General features: G+C 40.2%; 1 long non-coding RNA gene across 1 annotated transcript in view; it reads right to left on the bottom strand.

Moving 5' to 3' along the window:
• Positions 1 to 20,871, bottom strand: part of LOC107987008 (uncharacterized) — a 69,179-nt gene extending 48,308 nt beyond the window's left edge. The window contains exon 1 of the long non-coding RNA XR_001746516.1: positions 20,720 to 20,871. This is a non-coding gene — a long non-coding RNA (uncharacterized LOC107987008). The remainder of the gene's footprint in view (positions 1 to 20,719) is intronic.
• Between the last annotated feature and the right edge of the window lie 1,148 nt (positions 20,872 to 22,019).

Raw genomic sequence — 22,019 nt, 5'->3', positions numbered from 1 at the left:
TGCCACCACACTGGCTAATTTTTTGTATTTTTTAGTAGAGACGGGGTTTCACGGTGTTAGCCAGGATGTTCTTGATCTCCTGACCTGGTGATCCACCCGCCTCGGCCTCCCAAAGTGTTGGGGTTACAGGCGTGAGCCACTGCAGCCAGGCTGATGTAACTCTTTTGGAACTCTAGAGTCTGTTAAAGGTTTGCGACTTCCAGGGAAAGGTTGGATGGTAAATTGCATTAATTTTGTCAATTTCAGCTCTTAGCACAGTAGCAACTATCCATCCCTTACCTCCACTCACATGGCAGGTAGCTGTGCATGCATTCCAATAGCAGTTTCCATTCAGCTTGCAGAGGCCAGGGTGGCCAAATAGTACCCTGTCCTCCAAATATCAGAGATCTATTCTCTGATTGCTAATTGCTGCTTCTGATCTCAGATATTCTGATAAAGGATTAATATCCAGACTATATGAAGAACTCTCAGATCAGAATATCTCAGACATTCTGATAAAGGATTAATACCCAGACTATATGAAGAACTCTTAATACTTGATATGGTTTGGCTCTGTGTCCCCACCGAAATCTTATGTTGAATCGTAATCCTCACATGTCGGGGGGACCTGGTGGGAGGTGACTGAATCATGGCGGTGGACTTCCCTCTTGCTGTTCTCATGCTATTGAGTGAGTTCTCACAAGATCTGGTTGCTTGAAAGTGTGTGGCACTTCCCCCTTCACTCTCTCTTTCTCTCCTACCACCATGTGAAGAAAGTCCTTGGTTCCCTTTCATCTTCCGCCATGATTGTAAGTTTCCTGAGGCCTCTCAGTCATGCTTCCTGTTAAGCATGCAAAACTGTGAGTGAATTAAACCTCTTTTCTTCATAAATTACCCAGTTTCAGGTAGTTCTTTATAGCAGTGTGAAAACGGACTAATGCAATACTCAACAACAAAAAACAAACAAACAAACATTTAAAAATGGGCAGACGACTAGAATAAACATTTCTCCAAAGAAGACCTACAAATAGCCAATAAATACATAAAGAGATGTCCAACATCATTAGTAGATAGAAAAATACAAATCAAAACCACGAGATACCATGTCACACCTACAAAGATGGCTATACAAATAATAATAAAAATAATAATTGAAAAATAATAAATACTGGTGAGAATGTGGAGAAATTGGAACGTGCATTAAGGGTGGAAATGTAAAATGTGGTGCAACTGCTTTGTAAGATAATTTGGCAGTTTCTCAAATAGTTAATCTTAAGACTACCAAATGACTCAGCAATTCCTCTCCTAAGTATGTATAGAAAACAATGGAAAGCAAGGACTAAAGCAGGTATTTGTGTACTAATGTTCATATCAGCATTATTCATAACATCCAAAAGGTGGAAGCAATCCAAGTGTCCATCAACAGATGGATAGATAAAGAATATGTGGCATTGTGATGGAATACTATTCAGCTATAAAAAGAAACAAAATTTTTATATTTGCTACAACATGAATGAACCTTGAAAATATTATGCTTTGTTTAATAAGGCAGATATAGCAGGACAAATATCGTACAATGCCATGTATATAAGGTACCTAGAGTAGGCAAATTTACAGACAGAAAGTAGAATCAAGCTTACTAGAGGATAAGGAGTGGGGAAATGGGTACTTATTGATTAATGACTACAAAGTTTATGTTGAGGATAATAAAAATTTTTGGTGTAGGGGCCAAGTACGGTGGCTCACACCTGTAATCCCAGCACTTTGGGAGGCCGAGGCAGGCGGATCACGAGGTCAGGAGATCGAGACCATCCTGGCGAACATGGTGAAACCCCGTCTCTATTAAAAATACAGAAAAATTAGCCGGGCGTGGTGGCGGGCGCCTGTAGTCCCAGCTACTCTGGAGGGTGAGGCAGGAGAATGGCATGAACCCAGGAGGTAGAGCTTACAGTGAGCAGGGGTCGTGCCACTGCACTCCAGCCTGGGCGACAGAGCAGACTCCGTATAAAATATATATATATATATATATATATATATATATATATATATATATATTTTTTTTTTTTGGTGTAGATAGTAACAATAGTTATATAACATTGTAAATATATATTTAATGCTACTGAACTGCATACTCACAAATGGTTACAATGATAAAAAGTATGTTATGTATATTTTACCACAATAAAAAATAGAAAAAAATAATGGCATCACCTTGTAGAATGTTTAAGATAAAAAATGAAATTTTATTAACAGCAGAATAAAAAGAGAGGAAGGAAAATAAAGTAAAAGAGTCTTCTAATGCTCCTTTATCATTTGGTATGAGGTCAAGATACAGATTAACTGAGACACTGATCAATTAAGTGCTGTAGTGCTCAATTTTATGTGTTCAACTTTACTAGGCCACATGGTGCCCAGACATTTGGTCAAACATTATTCTGGATGTGTCTGTGAGAGTATTTCTGGATAAATTAACATTTGAATCAGTAGACTGAGTAAGGCAGATTGTGCTCCCCAATGAGAATGGGCCTCATTCAATCAGCTGAAGGCCTAAATAGAACAAGAAAGCTGACCTTTTCTTTCATGCCTGACTGTTGGAGCTGGGATATGCATCTTTTACTGCCTTCAGACTTGAACTGAAAAACGGATTCTTTTTAGGTCTCAAGACTGCTGGCTTTCAGACTGTGTGTGTGTGTCCTGTTGGTTCTGTTTTTCTGAACAATATGGATATTAATATAGTATCTATGTTATAATTATTACAATAAAAATAAAAATATTATACAACTTCTAAATTACAAGGGGGGAAATTAGATAAGAAAATATAAACAACCTAAGATAAAAGAAAATGGAACATGGATAAACTACGAACACAGATATAATGGAAAATACACACCTATATATATCAGTAATTGTTTTAAACATAAACTGACTAAACTATTTATTTTAAAGTAAAAATGAACAGACTATAACACAAAACCCAATTTGCTCCTGTTTTCACAAGACATATATAAAACATTAGGATACAGAAAGGTTAATGATTTAAAAAGTAAAAAGGCATACCAGGAAAATATTAACCATAAAAGCTAATATAGACATGTTATTATTAGGAAGATAAAATAATTATAATATATATACATCTAATTACCTAGCCTCAACACTCATAAATAAAAACATCCCTAGAACTACAAAGAAAATCCTCTACTCTGATTATTTTTCTTTTTAACACATTTTTATCACTAATTAATAGAAGAAACTAAGAGGATTTAGAAGATTTGAACCTCATAAAACTGTCACTCAGTCAAATGCTGCCAAAATACACATCATTTTCAAGCACATACAGAACATTTATTTAAAAAGAAGCACACACTGAACCATAAATAAAATCTCAACAAATTTCAAATGATGGAAAATCTACAGATATTTTCTGATAAGGAAGCCATTAATCTGGAGAAAAATAAAAACATCAAAAATATCTAGAAAAATATGGAAATTAATAAACACGCATTTCATTTACCCATAAGTCAAAAAGAAATCTAAAAATAAGTAGAAAATATACAGATGTCTATAAGAATAATTAGTTCAAAATTACTGTAGGAAAATATATACAGTACATCTCTCTAATAAAAAAATTTACAATAAAAATCCCCTCCACGAGATGGGCCAGCCGAGATAGTCAAATAAAAATAACAAAAGATATCCAGATTGAAAAAGAAGAAGTAAAACTATCTCTACTTATACATGACCTAAGTTTTGTATACAGATAATTCAAAAGAACACCCCGGAAAACTATTAGAACTAATGAGTTCAGCAAGTTTGAAGGATAAAAATCAATATTAAAAATTAATTTTATTTTTATATGTTAACAATGAACATTCAGTGAATGAAATTAAGAAAACAATTTCATTTGACATGTGAGGTAATTCAGGAATGGAAAACCAAATACCACATGTTCTCACTTATAAGCTAAGCTATGGGTAGGCAAAAGCATACAGAATGTTATGATGAACATTGGAGACTCAGAAGGGGAAGGGATAAAAAACTACTTACTGGGTACAATGTACACTCCTCAGGTGTCAGGTGTACTAAAATCTCAGACTTCACCACTACACAATTCATCCATGTATCCAAAAACCACTTCTACCCCTAAAGCTACTGAAGTAAAATATATATATATATATATACACAATTCCATTTGAAATGACATCAAAAAGAATAAAATACTAAGGTATAATTTAACAAAAGAATTGCAAGATTTGTATACTAAAAACTACAAACCAGTTTTAAAAGAAATTAAAGATCTAAATAAATGGAAAGATATTACCTAGACAATATTTTTGTTGTTGTTGTTGTTGTTGTTTGTTTGTTTGTTTTGAGGCAGAGTTTCACTCTTGTTGCCCAGGCTGGAGTACAATGGCACAATCTCGGCTCACTGAAACCTCCCCCGCCTCTCGAGTTCAAGCGATTCTCCTGCCTCAGCCTCCCAAAGACTTAATATTGTTAAATGACCATACTTTGTAAGCTGATCTACAGATTCAACACAATCTCTATCAAAATCTTAGCTAGCTCTTTTTCAGAAACTGACAAACTGATCTTAAAAGTTCTGAAAATTCAGGGACCAAGAATCCCCAAAACAATTTTGAAAAAGAATAAATTTAAAGGATTCCCGTTTAATGATTTTAAAACATAACACAAAGCTATAATAATAAAAACAGTGTAGTATGGCCATAAGAATAACACATAGATCAGTAGAACAGAACTGAGAATCTAAAAATAAATTATTATATTTATAGCCAATGAATTTTTCAGAAGGGTTCTAATAAAAGTGCTTGGAGAAAGAAGAGCCTTTTCAACAAATGTGGCTAGATAACTCAATGCCCTATCTCACACCATACACAAAAAGCTTATTCAAAAAGATTAAAAGCCTAAGTATAAGCATAAAAATCTGTAAAACTTTTAGAAGAAAATAGAGGAGTGAAATTTTCTGACCTTGGGTTTAGGCAAAGATTTTTAAGGTACAACAGCAAAAGCACGAGCAATGAAAGAAAAAATAAATTCGACTGCATCAAAATTTAAAAGTTTCGTGCTACAAACGATACCATCAAAAAAAGACAAAACTTGCAGAAATGAATAAAATATTTGCATGCCATATATCTGATAAGGGTCTTATATCCAGAATATAAAGGAATCATACCACTCTCAATAGTAGCAAGGCAAATAAACCAAATACAATATAGGCAAAGGATTTAAATAGGCATCTCTCCAAAGAAGATGTACAAATATCCACAAACATATGAAAATTGGCTCAACATCACTATTCATTATGGAAATGCAAATCAAAATCACGTCTACAAAGACAGCTATAATCGAAAAGGCAGACAGTAAAAACTTTTGGCAAGGATTTGAAGACATTTAAACCCTCACACACTGTTGATAAATATGTGAAATGATGCAGCCATTGTGGAAAACTGACAATTCCTCAAAAAATTAAACATAGAATTACAATACGATTCAATAATTCCACCATTAGGTGTGAAACATGTTCACACACACACAGACACAAATGTGTACATGGGCCAGGCGCGGTGGCTCACGCCTGTAATCCTAGCACTTTGGGAGGCCGAGACAGGCAGATCATGAGGTCAGGAGTGTGAGAGCAGCCTGGCCAATATGGTGAAACCCCATCTCTACTAAAAATACAAAAATTAGCCAGGCATGGTGGCACGTGCCTGTAGTCCCAGCTATTTGGGAGGCTGAGGCAGAAGAATCACTTGAACCCAGGAGGCAGAGGTTTGCAGTGAGCAGAGATCATGCCACTGCACTCCAGCCTGGGCGACAGAGCAAGACTCTCTCAAAAAAAAAAAGTGCACATGAATGTTCATAGCAGCATTATTCCTAATAGCCAGAAGTTGAAACAACCCAATGTCCAAAATGCCCATTTATCCTGATGAATGGATAAGTAAAATGTGGTACATAAATACAATGAAAGATTATTCTGTCTTAAAAAGAAATGAAGTATTGATATAGGCTACAACATAGATGAACCTTGAAAGCATTATACTAAGTAAAAGAAGCCAGCCACAAAAGACCATATATTGCATGGTTCCAATTCTATTAAATGCCCAGAATAAGCAGGTAGATTAGTGGTTACTTCGGGTAGAGAGGTGAGGAGTTGGTGAAGTGGGGAAGGAGAGGAGAATAGCAAGTGACTGCTAACAAGCATGGGGTTTCTTTTAAGGGAAATAGAAGTATTCTAAAGTTGAATAATGGTAATGGTTTTACAAAACTGTGAATATAGTAAAAAACATTAAATTACATACTTTAAATGGGTGAATATTATGGAATGTAAAATTATATCTCAATAAAACTGTTTTTTTAAAAAACCTTTTCTTATAGAACATATCTTCCCACCTTTCATTATAAAAACTCAGTGCTTAGGCAGGAACTAAAAGGAACTCTGTGTTTGTTTAATGTGTGATTGGGCTTAGGGAAAAGTACTGAATGAGCACAACAGATTGTAACATCAGTTACTTACGGTTTACCCAAATTTTGTATACGTATAATCCAAAAGAATACCCCAGAAAACGATTCCTAATAAATGAGTTCAGCAAGTTTGAGGGATAAAAATCAATATTAAACAATTAATTGTATTACTATACACTCGCAGTGAGCACTAAGTGAATGAAGTTAAGAAAACAACTCCATTTGAAATGTGAAGTAACTCAGAATAGAAAACCAAAACCATATATTCTCACTTATAAGCTAATATGGGTAGGCAAAGGCATAGTGTGGTATAAAGGACACTGGAGACTCAGAAGCGGGAGGGGAGAGCGGATGTAAAAACAGGAAATAGGATAGAAGAGGGGTGTAGAATAATTTTTGTTTGTTTGTTTGTTTTTTGAGACGGAGTCTCCTTCTGTCGCCCAGGCTGGAATGCAGCGGCGCGATCTCGGCTCACTGCAAGCTCTGCCTCCCAGGTTCACACCATTCTCCTGCCTCAGCCTCCCGAGTAGCTGGGACTACAGGCGCCCGCCACCGTGCCCGGCTAATTTTTTTGTATTTTTAGTAGAGACGGGGTTTCACCGTGTTAGCCAGGATGGTCTCGATTTCCTGACCTCGTGATCCGCCTGCCTCGGCCTCCCAAAGTGCTGGGATTACAGGCGTGAGCCACCGCGCCCGGCCGAATAACATTTTTTTAATCATGTAGAAAAGAGAAGATATACACAGAATGTTAACTGAACAGGAAGAATATAAAATTCCGTGTATAATATCTGCAAGTGTAAAAATGTGCAGAAACAAAAAGCGTACAGTGTATGCCCTATTAAAATAATTCTATAGCAAGCTGGCTGGTTTCGTTTGGTTACAATTCAATTATTAGCTGGACAAAAACTGAGTTTTTTGGCCTATTCATGTAAGATCTTTGTTAAGAGGCATATACCATGGAAGTTTTTTTCTCTAAAAGGTTTAAAACCCAAAAGAGTATATGTAGATTCAAGAGAGCAGATAGGAAGCATGCCTTTCATTCTACTTACCCCTGAAATGCCACTAAGATGACAATAAGGGGGTTGTCTTTGTAAAAAACATAATAAACCCATAAGGATGAAAGAAGAGAAAACAGGAACTTGGGGATCTGGAAAAAAAGATGGATATGTGCCATTGACTTAGTAGTTTATATCACGTGTAGAAGAGGTTCGAATTATATGAAATGGTCCCACTCCCAAAGTTCAGGAATTGATGACATTAGGTACACTTGAGAGAAAGGACCATGTAAAGGACATTGCCAGGAGTCACATTACCAGGTCCCCCTCCCAGCTCTAGATAACTGCCTTTCCCCCAACATGTGTCCCATCTCAGGTCCTCTCAACCCCCTTTGACTTCAGCCATGGCTGCACTACCCTGAATGCTTTCTGCAATGAGCTTTACTGAAATTTCTCAGGACACAGCACACAGGTCTGCATAACCTGGGAGTGGAGAGGCATTAACTCCAAAGAAACAACCTGCTTCTGTTGGAGGACAATAGCCATCAAGAGGATGCATTTCATGTAGCTCCTCAAACAGTTCCAGCAGTATTCAGCCCTATCTGCAGAGGTGAGCCCCTATGTAATTTTTTTTTTTTTTTTGAGACAGAGTCTCGCTCTGTCGCCAGGCTGGAGTGCAGTGGCACGATCTTGGCTTACTGTAATCTTCTCCTCCTGGGTCAAGCAATTCTCCTGCCTCAGCCTCCCAAGTAGCTGGGATTACAGTCACCTGCCACTACACCCGGCAAATTTTTGTATTTTTAGTAAAGACAGGGCTTCACCATGTTGGCCAGGATGGTCTTGATCTCCTGACCCTATGTATTTTTTAATTGGCTTTTCCTTCTCTCGGTCATGTTCTCCAGGCCCTCACATTACTGTTTCCTACAGTCACTTCCCAAATAAAATAAAATGCCTACATACCTTTGTACTAGGCTCTGTTTTTAGAGAAAACCCAGGTTAAGAAAAATTTGGTTTAAATATTAGTAATAATGTATAAAAATAAAGTATAGCCCCCCAAACAAGCAATCATTAATCCCAAAGGAAAGAAAATGCTGTTCTTGAAAGGAAGAGTAATCATAGTACCACACACAGCTAAACTTAAAGTAGCAGGTGGGCAGTCATCACAACAAAGGCTGAGTGGTAATCTTACCTCACTGTTGTATGAGAAGATTAGATTGCTGCAAGAATGTGGATGAGAAGTGTGGATAGCTGTTGTATGGTACAATAAGAAACATCCCATGCCTGTAAGATTAATGATGGCCATAAAGCCCACTCAAACATCTCATGGGGTCTACACTATGTTTCACTTAGCAGTATGATGTAACCTGGCCTGGGGATTTCCAGCCCTGGCCGGGAGATGATTACTGGGTCCCTATGAAAATAAGACCTAAAAACCCTGATTGCCTAGGCCACCTCAGCACATATGCCACTTTCATGAATCTTAAAACAAAGCTTACCCTTATATGATTAAAATTCCTCTATGAAAGAAACACCTAATGACTGAAGCCAGATTAAATACAGGAATAAAAAAGGAGGAAGAATCCCCCAAACAATGAGAACAGTCTGTGGATGAAGAACCTCCCCATCAGGTGGTCATCTGACCCTGACTGTATCTGGCCTGTGCCGCCGGCCTGCTCCCGCTATCCCTCTCGTAAGAGCACTGCCAGAATGAACTGCTGGAGCATCAGACAGTGCTGAAGACTCACCTTGGATGCTGAATGAACAGAAGGTGAACAGCTGCGTCTGGAGAAGCTGGTTCACTAGGACCACCCGAGACTACTGAAGATCAGCTTCAGTAGTATCCAGTTATCAAACTGGATACAAGAATGAGATTTGTGTAAGCAAATGAGTAACCACACCCATTCTCACGGGAAAAGCAGGAGGGTAGAAAGGTGAAAAAAAAAAAAAAAACTTTCAGAAATACCCAAAATTAATATGTGTTAACAGGTTGCCACTGCTTCATTGTCCAGAGTTGGGGCAAGTCGTTTATCCATGATCCCACCTTTTCTGCTGGAATACAAAAAGAGTAATTATTGGCTGGGCATGGTGGCTCATGCCTGTAATCCCAGCACTTTGGGAGGCCGAGGTAGGTGGATCGCGAGGTCAAGAGATGGAGAACAGCCTGGCCAACATGGTGAAACCTCGTCTCTACTAAAAATACTAAAATTAGCTAGGCGTGGTGGTGTGTGCCTGTAGTCCCAGCTACTCGGGAGGCTGAGGAAGGAGAATCCCTTGAACCTGGGAGGCGGAGGTTGCAGTGAGCTGAGATCATGCCACTGCACTCCAGTCTGGTGACAGAGCAAGATTCCATCTAAAAAAGAAAAGAAGAAAGAAGAAAAAAGAAAGAAGAAAGGAGAAGAAGACGAAAGAAGAAGAAAGAAGAAGAAGAAGAGGAGGAAGAGGAGGAGGAGGAAGAGGAGGAGGAAGAGGAGGAAGAACAAGAGGAGGAAGAAGAAGGAGAAGAAGAGGAAGAAGAATTATTGTGAAAAGGTTATATTGTGAGTATAAAGAGTAATTATTTTGAAAATATTTTCTCACTTTCCATTTTATCTTTTAACTGTCTGCAAGAAAGATAGAAAATGGCACAAACCTAAATCATTCTCTCTGCTCTCCATCATCTATCTACTCTCCATATTACTCAAGAGTACTGCTTCAAGCCTTTTAAAATTCTGTATTCCAAAGAGAACCAGCTTCCAAAATATGAGTTGTCAGGTCCTCTGAGTCTTGTTTGACATTTGACAACATCGGATACATTCCTCCAATGGCAACAGACAAGTGCAATCTTTTTAGGAAAAATAACCCATGTCTATTTTTGTTGTAGCTGAATTTTTGCATCCTCTTTTTTACCAGAAAAGGGATCTTGATACAAACCCCAAGAGAGTGTTCTTGGATCTTACACAGGAAAGAATTCAAGGTGAGTTGCAGAATAAAGTGGGAAGGGAGAGTTTATTGAAAGCCTCTAGGTTATAGAGTAAGGTATCCTCAGAAAGCAAGAACAGGAATGCCCCATCTTTGTTTTAAGTTTTTCTTACATATACATCTTCTTTATGTAAAGAATAAACTAAGCTTTGCCTATGTGCAGGTGGACTGACAGAATGACAAAATTTATTATTCTATTGATTTAAAGAAAACGATCCTTGACATTTTAGTGTACGAGTACATCAAAGCGTAACTACAACTATCTTGAAAGCATATATTGTTATGGGCATTGGGACATCTGGACTGCCTGTTATTGTAGGAGTTTGTCCTTGCAGGCATTACCACGCTCTTTCCTTGGATGTGAACATGTTAGGACCATGAGTCATGACTGGCAAGGAATGCACCCTGCTAACTTGAAGACGGAGCTGATGTTAAAATGGTGTCACTCGGGCTCTCCTAGGCTTCTGCTTCCCTAACGCCCTTGAGGTGACTATTTTATTCTTGAGTATAAACTGTCAAATGCAAAAAGAAATGAAAGCATGTTCTGAAAATAGGATCCACTCTGTGGAATATACCCAAGTCATTTTCCTTCCTCATTCCCATGACCCGGATTCTACAGTTCCCACAGCAGAGCTGCCTGGACACTGGCCCTTCTAAGCCCACTTTCATTGATCTTTTTTATTTTTTATTTTTTATTACAACCATTGAATAGCCTCACACCTCACATTTTCAGGCAGTGAGCTCTGCTTTTTTGCATCTAGTGTGGGTTGATTTCCCATCTCAACATTAATCCCAAACTTTGTAAAGTACCTTTGTAAGGTGAGGCAGAAAGGCCGATTTCATCAGTTAGCCCAGGTACTCAAAGAAAATGTAGGCATTTATTTCTAAAACAATTGTATATGTTTAGGAAGGTAACTTTTGGATACAGTTACTGTCGACCTCAAACAATACTTGCCTGAAATCTCGTTGCATATTGACTACAGGGAATCAGACACTCCAAAGTTTGGGAGATGATGGTCCTGAACTCTAACAGGAATGATTTAGGTTGGTGTCATTTTCTGTCTTTGTTGCAGACAGTTAAAAGATAAAATGGTCTGGGTGCAGTGGCTCACACCTGTAATCCCAGCACTTTGGGAGGCCGAGGCAGGTGGATCAGGAGGTCAAGAGATTGAGACCATCCTGGCCAACATGGTGAAACCCCGTCTCTACCAAACACACACACACACACACACACACTAGCTGGGCGTGGTGGCACACACCTGTAGTCCCAGCTACTTGGGAGGCTGAGGCAGAAGAATTGCTTGAACCTAGGAGGAGGAGGTTGCAGTGAGCCGAGATTGCACCACTGCACTACAGCCTGGTGACAGAGCGAGATTCCATCTCAAATAATAATAATAATAAATAAATAATAAAATGGAAAGTAAGAAAATATTTTCAAAAGGTTATATTTTCTAGCAAACAATAAATGGATTAACTTGAACTCTCCAGAGTTACAAAAGGCAGGGAGCTCTCCATTGCTGAATGTGTTCCAGAAGAGGCTGGAAACTGAATAGAAAATTCATGAATCGGCTGGGTGCGGTGGCTCACGCCTGTAATCCCAGCACTTTGGGAGGCCGAGGTAAGCAGATCACAAGGTCAGGAGATCCAGACCATCCTGGCTAACACGGTGAAACCCCGTCTCTACTAAAAAAATACAAAAAAAATTAGCCAGGCGTGGTGGTGGGTGCCTGTAGTCCCAGCTACTCAGGAGGCTGAGGCAGGAGAATGGCTGAACCCAGGAGACGGAGCTTGCAATGAGCCGAGATCGCCCTACTGCACTCCAGCCTGGGCGACAGAGCGAGAATCCGTCTCAAAAAAAAAAAAAAAAATTCATGAATCAAAAGTGCAGTTGTGCTTCTAGCACATTAAAGCCTCTTCTAATCTCAAGACTGAAAAGTTAACAAAACCTAACAATTTCATGGGTGAGAAACAAGCGACTCCTATGAGAAAGTAATTGGTAAAGTGGGGAGAGCCATGCAAATAAAATATACTCTTGTCACCATTCAAGGTCACTCCAAACCATAAGCCTATTCTGGAGGCTCCTGGATTAACTACAGAAATTAAAAATGGACAAATGCTTTCCCCACCTACATGCACAGATTAAATCGAGTGTTTCGAAGCACCAAACAGAGGCATTTCTTTCTCTCTCCTGTTTTTGTTTTTGGCATCAGCTTCCATTCTCCCTACTTTTCCAGCCATGTTCCTCAAGCAGGAACTCAGGGAGAGGCCTCCTCCCTTTGGTTGATGAGTGTGATGAATGCGATGGGGTGACTCCTACCGGACCCCAACATGATTGTCTTTGATTACAAGCTTCCACTGCTTTTTTAAAAGGGGGAGCTAAAAAATTGAATACACTTTCCTTGTTATCCAAAAACATCAGGATGGGCAAGAACAGCAGAGCTGCCCCATGAGGTGAGGCCAATCTTCCCACCTTATCTGTCAGTCACTTTTCTCATTAGAAGCACTGATTGTCTTAGGAGTGCAGGCTTATTTCCTTCTGGGTTATGATCTCTTCAATCTGACAATCTGCAGGAGATTTCTTAAGAACCTAATTGATTTACTGAACATGACACGTAAAATTTAACAGCCCAAATAATCAAAATGTTTTTGTGAGCTAAGCAGGATAATATCATTTTTTTAAAAAAGTCTGGTTATAGTACTTCTTATTGTAAAAAAACAGTTGACATATGCTGTTTTTTATATTTCAAAGCAATGTTGTTTTAAAGAGAAATTTAATATGTCTTCCATAAAGAATGATACTGTAGGGGTGGGGAGAGGAAACTGGAGAAGGAAAGCAAAGTTGAGAAGTTTATTCAGTTTATTCAATACAGAAGCTAACACACGGTTTTATTATTTCACATACGAGTGTGATAATGGCAAGAATTCCAGGATGCAGCGGCTGGACCGCCTGCTCAGTCTCACAAGGCTGAAATAAAGATGTAAGTTAATGTTTTCTTCCCTAGACCCCAGGCTCCTCTTCCAAGCTTACTCCTGCTATTGGCAGGATTAAATTCCTGGCATTGGAGGACTGGGGTCCTGGTTTCCTTGTTGGCTGCCAGCCAGGACCTGTCTTGCACCCTTCAGGCCACCCTCATTCCTGCTCTCTTGGCTCCCTCCGTTTCTGAACAGCAGTACACACTGCGTCATTCTCATACTCTGAATCTCTCTGACTTCTTCTACCAGTCAAAAAAAACACTCTGCTTCGAAACTGTGTGATGACATTAGGCCCACCAGATAGTGTCCCTACTCTACAGTCAACTGTGCCATATGACACAACATAGTCATGGGATTCCCTATTCTTGTGGGCTCTGAGGGATTCGGGTATGAAATCATGGGATCACATTGCGAATTCTGTCTACCACACATACGTAGAGAAAATATTTATTGGTTCATTTTATTTCTTATCAGATTTTTCTTTCTTCTCAATGAAATCAATATTTACTGTGCAATTGTGATACACCCCGCATGGATCAAGAGCTCTGCAGGAAAACTCCCACTGATGTATTTTACTGCCACCACCACAGTGCATACTCACAGATCACAAAATAGACCTCAGCAAATGTATTATAAAATGTGACCCAACAGGCTGGGCACGATGGCTCACTCCTGTAATCCCAGCACTTTGGGAGGCTGAGGTGGGCGGATCACGAGGTCAGGAGATCCAGACCATCCTGGCTAACACGGTGAAACCCCTTCTCTACTGAAAATACAAAAAATTAGCCGGGTGTGGTGGCGGGTGCCTGTAGTCCCAGCTACTCTGGAGGCTGAGGCAGGAGAATGGCGTGAACCCAGGAGGCGGAGCTTGCAGTGAGCCGAGATCCAGCCACTGCACTCCAGCCTGGGAGACAGAGCGAGACTCTGTCTCAAAAAAAAAAAAAAAAAAAAAAAAAAAAGCAGAACTGCTCACAGCTGTCCTAAAACCTCCTGATTGCCCATCAAAGCCTCCACATGTGCCTCCACCAGGAAAGTGTGTTCTTTCCACATGCTTGCTGATATCACAGACTTAACCTTCAACCTCAGGCTCTGAGGTTCACCCTGTCCTTCATCTTCATTTCACTGATCAACTCACGTTTCTCCTTTACTCCTATATGTGGAGTCCTATATGTGGAGTCCTATCATGACACGCATGTTCCCATGTGTCATGACAGGACTCCACAGGACATGAGAGCTGTTTAACAAGACTGTGCTGGGCAGGCTGGGCGTGGTGGCTCACGCCTGCAATCCCAGCACTTTGGGAGGCCAAGGCAGGCGGATCATGAGGTTAGGAGATGGAGACCATCCTGGCTAACACGGTGAAACCCCATCTCTACTAAAAAAAATACAAAAACAAAATTAGCCGGGTGTGGTGGCGGGCTACTTGGGAGGCTGAGGCAGGAGAATGGCATGAACTCAGGAGGTGTAGCTTGCAGTGAGCTGAGATGGCACCACTGCACTCCAGCCTGGGTGACAGAGGGAGACTCTGTCTTAAAAAAAAAAAAAAAAAAGACTCTGCTGGGCAGTAGTGATGCTTGTGCATAGGCAAGCCTGCATTTCCCAGCCCTTAACATTAGGCAGGGCCTCATGACTAGTTCTGATCAATGAAATGTGAGCAAAAGTGAGGCCAATGCTGTCAAAGTCCCAGTGTGGTTCTCTGTTCTCTTTCTCCTGCTGCAGCGACCAGAAAGGCCACAAATTCCACCAGAAGCAGTGACAAGAGGATGGAGCCGTTGTCAGCCTAGACTCCTGAGTGTCAGTGTGAAACAGAGCTCCCCATCCACCCTCACTGGACATCTAGCATGAATGAGAAATAATCCTTTTTTTTTTTCTTTTTTTTTTTGAGACGGAGTCTTGCTCTGTCACCCAGGCTAGAGTGCAGCGGCACAATCTCAGCTCACTGCAACCTCTGTTTCCCAGGTTCAAGCAATTTTCCTGCCTCAGCCTTCCAAGTAGCTGGGATTACAGGCGCCCGCCACCACACCCGGCTAATTTTTGTATTTTTAGTGAGAAGGAGTTTCACCATGTTGGCCAGGCTGGTCTCAAACTCCTGACCTCATGATCTACCCGCCTCGGCCTCCCAAAGTGCTGGGATTACAGGCATGAGTCACTGCGCCTAGCCCCTTTGTTGTTTTAACCTACAGAAATTTTGAAATTGCTTTACCAGTGCTTAATGTAAATTGTCCCGATTAAAATAAAAACTAAAGAACAGTATTTAAATGTGACATAATCAAGCATTCTCTTTTACCTATGGAAATATTTTAAGTGAATTCTGATAATCCACAATTCATGTAATGTTTTAAATTTTAAATTTCAGTTTGTTTCACACTTCTCTGAAATACTTTTTTTCTCCATAGCTCAGCATACTGATTTTCACAAAGACATGTAATGTATACAGTAACATTTTAAACGTGGCTTTGAGAGATGAGATGAGAGGTGAAGCAGAGAGGTGCTAATGGCTCCAGTCACTGAGGGGCAGTGAGAAAGCAGTTCGAAGGGAGGAGGATGAGTGTGACGGTTACTGTCATGTGTCAGCTTGACTGGGCCACAGGATGCCCAGATAGTGGGTTAAACATTTCTGGGCATGTCTGTGAGGGTGTTTTCAAAAGAGGTATATATCTCATTAACTTTTTAATTGGCGTACTGAGTAAGGCAGATTGCCCTCCTCAATGTGAGTGGGCCCCATCCAATCCACTGAGGACTTGAATAGAACAAAAATGTCAGAGGAAGTGAGAATTCTGTCTCTGCCTTTCCCTGCCTGACTGCTTGATCCAGGACATTGCTTGGTTTCTGTCCTTGAACTCAGACTTACACCATCAGTGCTCCTGATTCTCAGGCTTTCGGACTCAGACTGGAACTATACCACCAGCTTTCCTGGGTCTCTGTCTTACAGACACAAGACAGAAGATTCTCAGCCTCCACAATTTCAGAAATGCCCCCAGTGAGTGCTGGAAATCTCTGATCAAGTGATTTCGGAGTGGTATACTGCCTAAGACTTCATTGTGTTGGAAAACCACTCACCATTACCCCTAGCAACTCAGTAGCAAATGTTGACTTCCTGTTTTCACAATCTTATGCTCTACTATAGAGGATATAGTAACTACCTAGAGGTTATAGTAACAGAGGGATGAATGCTCCCACCAGGAGACGCAACAACGACTCTACTGAACTGGAGGTTAAGAAAGTCACCTGGCCACTTTGGGTTACTCATGCCTCTGAATCAACTGGCAAAGAAGGGAGTTATTGTGCTGGTTGGGGTGATTAATCCTGACTACCAAGAGAAAATTGGACTACTATTCCACAATGGAGATAAAGAAGAGTATGTCTGGAACATAGGAGGTCCCTCGAGGCACCTTTCAATATTATCATGCCTGGTGGTTAAGGTTGATGGAAAACTACAACAAACCAATCCAGGCAGGAACACTCATGGCCTAGACCCTTCAGGAATGAAGGTTTGGGCCACCACGTAAAGCAAAGAGCCATGTAGTGCTAGAGGGCTTACCGGAGGAAACAGCAATAGTGAACTGTTAAAGGAAGAAGCTAATTATAAACACTAACTACAGCCACAAGACAAATTATAGAAATGAGAACTTTGTCACATATATATCTTTCTTTCTTTTTTTTTTTTTTTTCCGAGACGGAATCTCTCTCTGTCGCCCAGGCTGGAGTGCAGTGGTGTGATCTCGGCTCACTGCAAGCTCTGCCTCCCGGGTTGACGCCATTCTCCTGCCTCAGCCTCCCAAGTAGCTGGGACTACAGGCGCCCACCACCATGTCCGGCTAATTTTTTTTGTATTTTTAGTAGAGATGCGGTTTCACAGTGTTAGCCAGGATGGTCTCGATCTCCTGACCTCGTGATCTGCCCTCCTTGGCCTCCCAAAGTGCTGGGATTACAGGCGTGAGCCACCGCGCCTGGCCGTCATATCTATATATTTCTTATTTAATTATAAATACACTTGTGTGTGTGTGTATGTGTGTGCGGGTGTGTGCGTGTGTGTGTGTGTCCTATTGGCTTTGTTTCTCTGGGAAGCTCTAACACAAAGAGGGTAATATGGTAATATTGTGACACTGGTAAGTGGTACAAACATCAGAGGTGCCAGGCTTTTCAAGGGTAGAAAAAGAAGAAATGATTTGGAAGTCGTAATGAGGCCTATGGAATTGGAGGGGGGATGATGACTAGAGAGAGGCCAATTTTCAATTAAGGCAAGAAATGGGAGAGAAGGTTTAAGTAAAGGATGTCTATATGAAAACTATACTGATCAGGAATTCCACAGAGCACAGAGAAAGGGTTTGAAGAGGAGAAGACTGATGGAAGATGGAGTCAGATTGAGGAACATTCACAAAAGTGGTGAAGGGTAGGGGTGAGAGAGGGAAATTCCAGGAGCCTGTGACAGCGGTAGTGGGGGAGGTGAGGGTCCAGATCTGTTTTCATGGGGAAAGAGCATAATAGGTTTATCATTAATGTAAGTACCCAGCCTGCTGGTGTGGCTGCCTTATGGTAACTGTGCCCTCTAAAAGACCACGTCTCTCATAAGCACCAGGAGTGTTTTGAACATGGTAGGCAAAAACTATGAGTGTGTTAATTTGAATTTAATTTCTTAGCAAATTCTGTGAAAAGATGAAGATGATTAATTCCACTTTTTTTGTATTTTCTTGTGGGCAGGAAGATCCTCCCAACTGCATATCCTGCTGCAGTATTTCCTCCCCCTGTGAGCTCACAGGCTTCTTGGTGTAATAGAATGACTCTGTTACAATTCTGTTGGCTGGAGGTTTCACCTGAGTTTCACAGGGAAGGCCAGGAGGAACTTTTAGTCAAAGCAGCAGATGTTTTTTCTTTCCTGTATGTAAGTAGGAGTTTGAGTGGATCTTGGGACCTCATTGCACAAATGAAGCCAACTGAGATGCTTAAATATATATAAACATATGTCAGATGATTTTAACTTTTTCCACACTGGGCCAGGAGACCTCCAAATCAAGGTAGCACAGCAAGTTCATGCTTCAAAATTTCCCTCTTCTTTGCAAACAACAATAATAAATAAATCAAAAGAGGACACTGTCAAACAGACAGCAGGTCCAAAATGCAAAATAAAATGCCTGTGCCTTGGGATAGATGTGTGGAGAAGGAAGGGAAAGAACAGAGAAAAAGAAATGCCCCAAACACTTACCAATTAAAATCCATTTATATGTTATTAGCCAACCAAATATAGTATGGGTATTTTTTTAGAACTCAATAAACAGAGACCCCTAGAGGTATTTTTTCCTTGGTAGGTCCTTCATAGTTTTATGACAACAGTGTCCCTCCGTGCCCTGCCAGTCCTAACTCACCTCAAAAATGTCTAAATATTTTCATGAACAAAGTACCTAATTCTGGCCATACCACTAATTTTATTCACTTGCTTTTACATTTCTGGGCCTCGGTTTCTTTCTCTAAATGAGGATATTGGACTAGAATTTTTAAATATTTTTGGAGCACTCTAATTTTATCTTTCTACTTTCATAATGATATTAAAATATTTCAAATATGCTTGAGATTCTCATGGTTGTTATTTATATGTATTCGTTTAAGTAAGAAGAAATATGGTAAAAGTATTAAATATACTACAATAAAATGATTGTTTTAGTATTCCCAAACAGACAACAAACATAATTACACTGCAAGAAACTCAAGTGAAATATAGATTTGAAATTATTACTAATCACATCCAAATTGAGATTAACTTCTTAAACATGTAGAGGAAAATCTTAATCTATCCAAATAAATAATATGCCTCTAGCAAGAAAAAAGACTTCATTTTGGGTTGAGTTTTACAGATTATTCCCTTACTTCTCCTTAGTCAATACCTATCTAAAGCAGATGCATCTGACTCATTTAAAGTATCCAGTCAGGAATATGAAGGCCAAATCCACATCTTCCAAGCATGAAGCAAGGAAATAAGGTATAATGATTTTCTGTCAATGAAGCTCATGCATGAAATAAAACTGGGACTCACCATGCAGACTCAAAGCACACAATGACCAAAGGGCCAGAGATCAATCCAAGGTGACTACAACACAGCCCACAATGAAAAAGTCAGGAAAGTGCCTCCGTAAATCCATGCAAAGAATGAGAAAAATAGGAGGTAAAATAAAACTGATGAGTAATAGTATTAAACTTTGCACAAGTCCTGGAAATACAGCACAGTACAACCATGGATCCAATTAGGGGCATCTGGGCTTTTCTCGCCTCTTGAGTTAGAATCAGTTAGAACAGCATTGGTTCACAAAAATTGCATACCTGGCCAAAAAAAGTAGCTCTTGGTAATTATTTCCAAATGGCTGGAGAAAAGAAAGAGGTAACATAAAACATGTGATTGAAGAGTACTGCAGCCTTGGGGCAGAAGGCTGTAAGGAAGATGGTGAATAGGACTTTCTAGCTCTTGCTCCCCTGCAGAAACATCAATTGGAACAACTATCCATGCATAAAACCACCTTCACAAGAACTAAGGAAACCAGGTAGGAGATTTCAGAAAGGATGCACTAAAGAGATAGAAAGGACAGTTGGAGTAGTAGCCTGACTGTAGCTGATCAGTAGCCCCAGACTTTGGACAAACCCCAACTCCAGGCTATCCCCCACAGACTCAGGCTCTAGGCCCACCCCAGGGCCAGGCAGCCAAAGGCTCTGGACTGCTTGCAGCACCAGGCTGGTCCCCATGGTCCCAGGATTCAGACCTACCCAAGAACCAGGCCAACCGCTACAGCTCTCATCTCCAAACAGGCACCCACAGACCCACTCTTCATATTTTCCCCTGCAGCCACACATTACAGCAGAGCCACAGCCCAGTTTCTTCCTGGCAGACTCCAGCACTGGATTAGCCCCCATGGACCCAGGCTCCAAGATGACCCCTGTAGACTCAGGTTTCAGGCCAGCACCTGGAGCCCCCAGACAAAGGTCAACCCTAATGGTCCTAGCCTCCAGGCCAACACCCACACACCCAGCCCCTAGGACAACATTGTTTAAAGAAATAATCACTAAAAAATTCTTAAACCTGGGGAATAATATCAAGGTATAAGGACCAAATGTCTCCAATCAGATTCTATCCAAACAAGACTATAACAAAATGTATTATAATCAAACTATCAAAAATCAAAGACAAAGAGAGAATCCTAAAAGCAGCAAGAGAATAGAAATAAATCACATATATGAGAGTTCCAATAAGGCTAGCAGCATATTTCTTAGCAAAAACCTTACATGGCAGGAGAGAGCAAGATGATATATTCAAAGCCTCAAAGAAAAAAATATGCCAACTAAGAATACTGTACCTGCCAAAGCAGTTCTTCACAAATAAAAGTGAGATAAAGACTTTTCCAGACAAATAAAAGCTGACTTGTCTCACAAGAAATCCTAAAGGAAGCTCTTCAGGCTGAAAGAAAGAAAAGAATGCTCATTGGTGTCATGGAAACATGAGAAAGTATAAAACTCACTGCTAAAAGTAAGTACACAGTCAAATTCAGAATATTCTAATACTGCAGTGATGGTAAGTAAATCATCTGTGTCTTTAGTATGAAGATTAAATAAATATGTATTAAAAATAATAGCTATAATAATTTGCTAAGGGATATACAATTAAAAATATAAATTATGACATCAAAGCATAAATTGGGGGCAAGGGGATGGAGTAAAAGTGGAGACTTTTTTCTATGTGATCAAAGTTAAGTTGTTACCAAATATAAACAGTCCGTTATAAGAGGTTTTATGTAAGCCTAATGGTAACTACAAAATAAAAACTTATAGTAGATACGCAAAGCAAAAATAAACAAAGTCAAAAATTGTTACAAGAAATGAATTAAGGTCATTATATATTGATAACTCATAAATTTATCAAGAATATAAAATACTTATAACTGTATAGATACCAAAAATCAGAACTCCAAAATACATGAAACAAACATCGATAGACTTGAAGGAAGAAGTAGATAGTACTACAATAATTGTTGGAGACTTCAATACCCCACTGCATTTGGCAAATTATATGCCCCATATCACTTGAATGTGGCCTGGCCTTGCCAAAGCTCATGTGGAAACTTGTTCCTCCATGTAACAGTGCTAAACGGAGGAGCCCACTGGGAGGTGTTTGGGTCAGTGGGTGTATCTCTCTCTCTCTTGCTTTCTTTTTCACCACGTGATCTCTTTGCACACGCCCACACCCCATCCACTTTCTGCCATGAGTGGAAGCAGCATGAGGGAGGCCCTCACTAGATGCAGCTGCTCAATCTTGAACCTTCAAGTCACCAGAATCATGGGCCAAGTAAACCTCTTCTCTTTATAAATTACCCAGTCACAGGTAGTCTGTTACAGCAACACTAAATGGACTCAAACAGTCACTTTCAATAACAGATAGAACATCTAGACAGAAGATCAATAAAGAAATAGAGGACTTGAAAAACACTGTAAATCAACAAGACCTAACAGACATATAGAAAATACTCCACCGAGGCCAGGCGCGGTGGCTCATGCCTGTAATCCCAGCACTTTGGGAGGCCGAGGCGGGCTGATCACGAGGTCAGGACATCAAGACCATCCTGGCTAACACGGTGAAACCCCGTCTCTACTAAAGAATAC

The sequence above is a fragment of the Homo sapiens genome, chromosome 9, assembly GCF_000001405.40.
Source record: "Homo sapiens chromosome 9, GRCh38.p14 Primary Assembly".
NCBI classification, from domain to species: domain Eukaryota; kingdom Metazoa; phylum Chordata; class Mammalia; order Primates; family Hominidae; genus Homo; species Homo sapiens.
Note: the sequence above shows the minus strand (reverse complement) of the source record. Positions and strands in the feature narration are given on the sequence as shown.